General features: G+C 55.7%; 1 annotated feature.

The window, feature by feature from the left end:
* Positions 257-984: an enhancer, noted in NCBI's record as "H3K27ac-H3K4me1 hESC enhancer chr20:48632321-48633048 (GRCh37/hg19 assembly coordinates)". NCBI's record gives its function as "activates a minimal SCP1, AML or CMV promoter by ChIP-STARR-seq in naive and primed H9 embryonic stem cells {active_cell/tissue: H9 hESC(naive and primed)}" and the evidence as "EXISTENCE:reporter gene assay evidence [ECO:0000049][PMID:30033119]".

The raw sequence follows: 8570 nt of genomic DNA, 5'->3' as shown, positions 1-8570 counted from the left end.
AAAAAAAAAAAAAAGAGAGAGAGAGAGAAAGAGAGAGAGAGAGACAGAGAAGCCAACACAGCACTGGTTGAGCACCTAGCATGTGCCAAGTGCTTTCACATGATCCTGTTAAGCCTCCCGACAAACCTGCCTGATGATGTTGCTTTGGGAAACAGGAAAGGGAGCCTTGGAGGAGGTGAACAGACCAGGCCAAAGCCACCCAGAGCAAGCTCTGCTTCTAAGCCCTTCCCTCCACTCCGGCCCTGCCTGATCTCGACCTCCACGAGGGGGGAACTAATAGGGGCCGTTCATCAGACACTCGCTGCAAGAACAGTCGCTGCCGTTTCCCCATGGCTGAGTCCCTGCTACCCTGTCCCCGGATACCCCTGAGGCTCTGAGTGCTCCAGGCCCTTGCCCTGGGTCACACAGCAGGGAGAGGGGAGCCAGGGTCTGCACCCAGAGCTGCCTAAATCTAATTAGGGCCTGAAAGTCAGGGCTGGCTCCCACCGTCGGGGCCAGGGTTACAGTGGGAGGAGCCTGCCGCCTTTCCAGCGACCTCCTGGACCTTGTCTCAGCTGGAAGAGGGCCCCAGCCTCTGCTCTCATCTGGATGTGACAAGAAACAGCCCAGCAGCTCACCCTAGACAGGGCAGGGGCGGAGCTGGAGAGGGTGGGAAGGGAGGCGCCAGCCATGCTCCCTGAGGAGTGGTGAGGAGAGCAGGCGCCGGGGATGGAAGGCCTGGGTTTGAACCCATCTCTGCCCCTTAAACCCTGTGTGAACTGGCGAGTACCTGACCTCTCTGGTCTCCTCTGCAAAGTACGTCCAGGCAACCTCCTGGGGGTGTGGGAAGCCCCCAGGAGCTGGTGCTTGTAGCTAACATTTACGAAGCCCCAAGCCTGGCCAAAACCTGGGATTGGCCTAGGATGAGCAAGCACTTCCTTCATCACCGCCTGCGGGGAGGGAGGTGCTCTTATTATTACCTCCACTTTACAGAGAAGAAACTGAGACACAGAGGAGGTGACTTGCCAGATGATAGTTACACAGTCAGGAAGTGTCAGAGCACGGACTGGAACCCAGGCAGACCTGGCTCCAGAGCCCACCTCTTCGCCACTCCCCAGCGCCGGAATGCAGTCAAGTTCCAGGTTAGCAGCTCCTTACCCTGTTGCTGTTGACATCTACCAGGGTTTCTGGAGTTAGGGTCCTACCCTGGTCTGGAAACGGAGGCGGGGGGAGGGGGGGAGGGGACGAGGGGGCGCGGTGGGGGGTGGGGGGAACGTCCCTATATTCCATCCCCAACAGCCACCCTGCCAAGGAAATGGGCCCGGAGGGGGTATGTGCGGCGCCCAAGGGTGCACAGCCGTGGGGTCAGGTGTGGCTTATCAGGGCAGCATCTTCCCCGCCGGCATCTCCTGGATCCCCCTCATTTATACTCTCTCTCTCTACCCCCCGCTGTGGGGCGGGGGCTGCCTCCATGCCGGCTCCACGCTGACTCCACGCTGGCTACAGGACATTTGTTACTGTGTCAGTTCTAGCTCCCACCCCGATGGGGGGGCCGGCAGGCAGGGGGCTTCCTGGCGGCCCTGGGAGGGAGGAATGCGCCCCCACCCCCAGCCCCATATGGCCTCCTTCCTGGCCCATCTGCTTCCCATTGCCCTACGCGGCTGCTGCGGGGCCGCTGGAGCCCGCCCGCAGGGGTGTGAAGTTTATGTGGCTGGGCCTGGAGCCGGCGGTGACAGGGCCACACACGTTCACACAGACACACACTGGACACCGCCCACCAACCCTGCTGCATGTGTGCTCACACACACACATCAGTCCACCCCCCACGTCCCCAAATACACCCACAGTCTCACATTCACTCCCATCAACTAACACCAGAGACTTTCAACTCACACACACACACCAGTGAACGCCATACCAAACCCTGACACACACGTACACAACGCACTCTCAGAACGGACCCCTGCTCACACACACAGCCACACACAACACGCTGACTCACACTGCCTGACACCCTTCCTAGATGTGCCCCTACACTCACACCTGCACACACACACACACATCCACCCCAACACACAAAGACACACCAGCTTACCCAGATGACACAAACACAAAACGGTGACTTCCACACAGGCCCAGACCTCGGAGAGGCCATTGGATGGGGAAGGGGCCCCCTCCAAGGCACAGGACGGCCTCTCCCCCAACCCCTCTATCAAGAGCCCAGACCCCTGTGCCAACACAGGCCACACGCTGTCCCACCTCCTCCTTATTCAACCCTAGAGGCCGAGGAGGCCATTCCTCAGAGGAGGCCTGGAGACCAGCAGCCACTGGCCGAGGTCTCCAGGGAGTGTGGGCAGAGACCGATTCCAACCCAGGCCACCTACACTGGGCACTCAGCACTCCAGCTCAAACCCCTGAGGGAGCCCCCATCTGACTCCCCTCCTTCTGGGCACCTGCACCATCCCCAGTGAGATCCTATCACTCACCACCACCTCCAGGGCCCTCGAAGAGAATTCAGGGATCTGTGAACTTGGACTGGGGGAAAAAAAGGGATGTCCTGATTTTCACTAACCGCCAACTGGAATTTGGCATTTCCTTCCCTTACGAGCAGACGTGGGAAACCACAGTGGCAGTAGCTGGACGGTGGCTTTGTCAATCAGAAATCCTTTGTCCATGTCTCTTTACAGTGTCATAGAAAGAGCATTCGTCCTCTTCCTGATTTCAAAATTACCATAGTTGGCTGGGCATGGTGGCTTGCGCCTGTAATCCCAGCACTTTGGGAGGCTGAGGAGTTTGAGGCCAGCCTGGGCAACATGGTGAACCCTGTCTCTACCAAAAATACAAAAAATTATCTGGGTGTGGTGGTGTGGGCCTCTGGTCCCAGCTACTCAGGGAGCTGAGGTGGGAGGATTGCTTGGGCCTGGGTGGTGGAGGCTGCAGTGAGCCATAATCATTCCACTGCACTCCAGCCTGGGCAACAGAGTAAGTGCCTGTTTCAAAAATAAATAAATAAACAAAAACCAAAAAGCACAGCTGTCACCATATCAAACATTCAGCTATTAAATATTTTAATGACTTTAGTTTAATATAATGTTTTACTTTAATGCTATACAATTTCATTTATAAAGGTAAATCTAAGGCTGGGCGTGGTGGCTCATGCCTATAATCCCAGCACTTTGGGAGGCTGAGGTGGGCGGATCACGAGGTCAGGAGTTTGAGACTAGCCTGGCCAACATGGTGAAACTCCATCTCTACTAAAATTTAGCCAGGCATGGTGGTGCGTGCCTGTCGTTCCAGCTACTCAGGAGGCTGAGGCAGGAGAATTGCTTGAACCCGGGAGGTGGAGGTTGTGGTGAGCTGAGATTGCCCCACTGCACTCCAGCCTGGGCAACAGAGCGAGACTCTGTCTCAAAAAAAAAAAAAATATATATATATATATATATATACACACACACACACACACACATGAATCTAAATGTATAATAAAAAAGGGATCTATGGCACAGGAGCTGATCAGAGCCCCGAACTAGGCCCAGGTACTGTATTCTTACACACTTCTACTATTATAGCTTTTTACAGTGAGGACCACAGTACAGCTGGAATAGCTTGCCCAATTCTAAATGGCTGAGCCAGGATTTGAACCCAGGCAGCTGGCTCACCCTTGAGCTCTAAGCTATTCTATCTGTGGGAACCCAGTGCCCAAGCCCCGCCCCCAGGAAGAGGATCCTGGGGTCTGGGAGGCCCCGTCACACACACCATCCATCCTGGGGACCTGGAAACCTCCTGTCCAGCCCAGGGCAGGTCCACCTGGCTGCCCCAGCCAGAAAGGAGCCAGGGCAGCGTTTACAATGTGTGAGAATTCTCACCCCGCAGCAGTGGCAGTCAGAGTAGGCTCCCAGCTCCCAGGCCCCGGCTCTGCTGGAGGTTCTGCAGTAAGCTGAAAATGAGCTTCCTCTGTGGGGCCCCAGGAGGCAGGAACAGCCGGTGGGTCCTGGAGCCTTATCATCCCTTATCGTTGATTCACCTGACCTTCTGCTTATCTGTAACTCAGGAAACCTGTCCTCTGCTAGCCAGAAACCAAGTCACCAGAAAGAAAGCTGAGGCTTTCTTTGTCTTCCACGGCCTGGCTTTGTCCATTCATTCATTCACTGCTTGAGCATTTCTTGAGCACCTACTGTGTGCTGGGTTGGGGGCAGAGGCTATAGCTGTGAACGAAGTCCCACCCTCACTGAGCTCACTGGCAGGTGGAGGAGACAGACAAGAAACAAGTGAACCAAAGGCATGCAAGATAATAAAAAGAAATAAGTATCTTTGCCAGGGGCAAAGAGAAGGGCCAAGGCAGCAGGGCTTAGACACATGGTCTGAGAAAGCTTCTTTAAAGAGGCGATCTTCAAGCCCCAGCCTAGCGGAAGTGAGGGAAACAGCTGCAGAGACAACAGGGGTAAGAAAGTGTTCCAGGAAGAGGGAACGGCAAATGCAAAAATCAACACCTGGCTACCCTGAGCTTCACTTCTGCCTTCTCTGAGTCTGAGTCTGAAATTGGTCCTTTGGGCCAGGTGTGATGGCTCATGCCTATGATCCCAACACTTTGGGATGCCAAGGTGGGAGGATCACCTGAGATCACGAGTTCGAGATCAGCCTGGCCGAACATGGTGAAACCCCCGTCTCTACTAAAACTACAAAAATTAACCGGGCATGGTGGGGGGTCCTTGTAGTCCCAGCTACTTGGGAGGCTGAGGCAGGAGAATCACTTGAACCCAGGAGGCCGAGGCTGCAGTGAGCCGAGATTGTGCCACTGCACTCCAGCCTGGGCAACAGACCAAGACTCCATCTAAAAAAAAAAAATAAAAATAAAAAAGAAAAGGAAAAAAAAGAAATTAGGGGTTTGCCCCTTCCCCAAGTCCCATATCCTGGAGGGTCACCTGCCTTCCCCTTCCTCCAGTCATCCTCTCATGCCTCCTCTCTCCTTCCAATCCAAGGACCCAGGGTGTTAATTATATATGCAACCTGTGCAGCTTTTCCCTTCCCTTCCCTTCCCTTCCCTCCCCTCCCCTCCTCGCTCCTCTCTCTCTCTTTTTTTTGAGACAGTCTCACTCTATCACCCAGGCTGGAGTGCAGTGGCACAATCTCGGCTCACTGCAACCTCTGCCTCCTGAGTTCAAGTGATTCTCCTGCCTCAGCCTCCCGAGTAGCTCGAACTACAGGTGCCTGCCACCATGCCTGGCTAATTTTTGTATTTTTGGTAGAGACGGGGTTTCACCATATTAGCCAGGCTGGTCTCGAACTCCTGACCTTGTGATCTGCCTGCCTTGGCTTCCCAAAGTGCTAGGAGTACAGGTGTGAGCCACTGTGCCAGGCTCTTTCTTTCTTTCTTTTTTGAGACAGAATCTCGCTCTGTCGCCCAGGCTGGAGTGCAGTGGCGCGATCTCGGCTCACTGCAACCTCTGCCTTCTGGGTTCAAGCGATTCTCCTGTCTCAGCCTCCTGGTGACTGGGATTACAGGTGCACATCACCATGCCCGGCTAATTTTTTGTATTTTTAGTACAGACAGGGTTTCACCATGTTGAGGAGGCTGGTCTCAAACTCCTGACCTCAGGTGATCCACCCACCTCGGCCTCCCAAAGTGTTGGGATTATAGGCGTGAGCCACTGCGCCCGGCTCTTTCTTTCTTTTTTGAAGCAGGGTCTCGCTCTGTCTCCCAGGCTGGAGTACAGTGGCATGATCACAGCTCATTGCAGCCTCAACCTCCCAAACTCGAGCAATCCTTCCACTTCAGTCTCCCGAGTAGCTGGGACTACAGATGCGTGCCACCATGCCCAGCTAATTTTTAAATGTCTTGTAGAGAGAGGATCTCGCTATGTTGCCCAGGCTGGTCTTGAACTCCTGGGCTTAAGCAATCCTCCTGCATCGGCCTCCTAAAGTGCTGGGATTACAGGCCTGAGCCACTGGGCCGGGCTTGACTTTTTGTTTCTATGTCCCTCTGCCAGGGGCATCCGTCTGTTGCCTTGCCTGGGATGGAAACCCAGGAGTCAAGAAGCTAGTGGCTCCTGCCCTCTGTTCTTCGTTGGGCTTCTGACACAGTGCCTGGCCCATCCGCACTTGACAGATGAGAAAACTGAGGTTCAGAGAGGTACCTCGGGGTGGCTCCAGCCCCACCATGGCAGCTCCGGGCTGGGCACCTGCAGGTCCTGGGCCCTTAACTTTGATCTTATTAATGACCTCCACTTTCAGGGGCCGCTCCAATTTCTAGTGTGGTTCAGGTGTCCCCTTAGGCCATGGGGCACGGCCCTGGCATCTGAGTGTGCCACCGTCTCCTGAGTGTCTCAGCCTCAATTTGTGGTCCATGGGGCGGACCATCGTGTTAACAGCATCCGTAAGTGACCGGTGTCGCTGGTTGCTCCCGTGTCCTGGGCCCCAGGCCGCAATTTAGTCCTGCCGCCCCAAAAGGGAAGGGCCTATTCAGCGGAGGAGGTCAACGAGGCCAGGGGAGCTTGGCCCTGAAGGCGTCCTCCCAGGGCGGGGACGGTGAGGGCGCCTCCTGCTCCTCCACCTGCCGGCCGGGGCGCGCGGTGGTCCCGGGAGGGCCGGGGAATGCGCGGGGGTGGTCGCCGCCCCCAGCCCGGCTCACGTTTCCGGCCCGGGCCGCACAGCCCCCGCCGCCCCCTCGCCGCCGCCGCCGCCGCTGCCGGCCCCCTCAATAAGGCGCCTCGCCTTCCACCTCCGAATTTTCCACGCAGGGTTAGCCTGGCGACGCGCTGTCTGCGGGCCCCATAAAGGCGGCCGTGTGCTGCATTCGTCTCGCCGGGGCCGCGGCCTGGAGGGGCGCCCGGGCTGCGAGGGGCCTCCGCCTGCGGCTGCAGAAAGGGCCCCCTCCTCGGCCCGGCAGGCGCAGCCTCCAGAACTCCAAGTTCAGAAACACCGTAAAGACAAAGAGCAAACATCGCAGCCAGCCTGCGCTGGGCCCTGCTAAGGGTGCGGAGGGGCTTCAGAACCCATGGCACCCTCCTAGTCGACCTGGGTGGCAAAGCCTTCTCTGAGCCTTTGCAGGAGGGTAGAGGAGGCTCAGGGGTTGGAAGAAGTTGTCCAAGGTTGTGCAGGAGGAATGGGGCAATTACAATGAGTCGGGCTCCCAGCCCAGCTTCGTTGTGGAGCCTCTGCTTCGTGCCAGGCACTGCTCTAGGGCTTGGAGTATTGCAGTGAACAGATGCAAACCTCCCTGCCCTCCTGGGGCTGACATTCCATCGGGGGGAACCAGACATTGGCAAAGAAACCCCTGAAATAAAGTGTCAGGTGCCAGTGAGTGCAGGGGCGGGGGGGGGCGGGGCGGGGGGAATAATGCAGGGAAGGGGGTTGGGAAGTGACGGTGGTGGGCATGAAATGGCTCCTGGGATGGTCAGGGAAGGTATTTTGTTTTTGTTTCTTTTATTTTTCGTTTTATTTTATTTTATTTTTGGAGCCAGAGTTTTGCTCTGCCCACCAGGCTGGAGTGCAGTGGCACCATCTCTGCTGACTGCAACCTCCACCTCCCAGGCTCAAGCCATTCTCCTGTCTCAGCTTCCTGAGTAGTTGGGACTGTAGGCATGCGCCACCTGGCTAATTTTTTTTTTTTTTTTTTTTGAGATGGAGTCTCACTCTGTCGCCCAGGCTGGAGTGCAGTGGCGCGATGTCGGCTCACTGCAAGCTCCGCCCCCCGAGTTCAAGCGATTCTCCTGCCTCAGCCTACCGAGTAGTTGGGATTACAGGTGCCTGCCACTGCGCCCAGCTAATTTTTGTATTTTTAGTAGAGTTGGGGTTTCACCATCTTGGCCAGGTTGGTCTTAAACTCCTGACCTCGTGATCCACCCGCCTCAGCCTCCCAAAGTGCTGGGATTACAGGCGTGAGCCACCGTGCTCGGCCCTTTTTTTTTTTTTTTTTTTTTTTTTTAGATGGAGTCTTGCTCTGTCACCCAGGCTGGAGTGCAGTGGCTGGATCTTGGCTCACTGCAACCTCCGCCTCCTAGGTTCAAGCAATTCTCCTACCCTAGCCACCCGAGTAGCTGGGATTACAGGCACCTGCCACCCCGCCCAGCTAATTTTTGTAGTTTTAGTAAAGACGGGGTTTTTCCATGTTGGCCAGGCTGGTCTCGAACTCCTGATCTCAAGTAATCCACCCACCTTGGCTTCCCAAAGTGCTGGGATTACAGGCTTGAGCCACCGAATCCAGCCTGTTTTTGTTCCTGGACTCAAGCGATTCTCCTGCCTTGGCCTCCCAAGGTGCTGGGATTACAGGCATCAGCCACCATGCCTGGCCAGAAGGTCTTTTTGAGGGATGGAGTCCTGTGGACAGCTAGACCCTGCCGGCCAGGCCCTGCTGTCCTGTTGCCACTGGTGATGCTGCTGGAAGTCCCCTCATTAAAGCATCTTCCTGGAAGAGTGTTCCAAGAAGCAGAAATAGAATGCACAAAGGCCCTGTGGAAAGACCATGCTTAGCTATCATTCCTTCATCATTTACTATAGGTACCTCTCATGCTTTCTTTCTTTCTATCCCTTTCAACCACTCTGCCAGTCCAGGAATCTGTGGAATGTTCCTTTTCCAGCTGAGGGCACTGACG

Source organism: Homo sapiens, chromosome 20 (assembly GCF_000001405.40).
Source record: "Homo sapiens chromosome 20, GRCh38.p14 Primary Assembly".
In the NCBI taxonomy this organism is placed as follows: domain Eukaryota; kingdom Metazoa; phylum Chordata; class Mammalia; order Primates; family Hominidae; genus Homo; species Homo sapiens.
The sequence above is the reverse complement of the archived record's forward strand: the minus strand, read 5'-3'. Positions and strand labels throughout refer to the sequence as shown.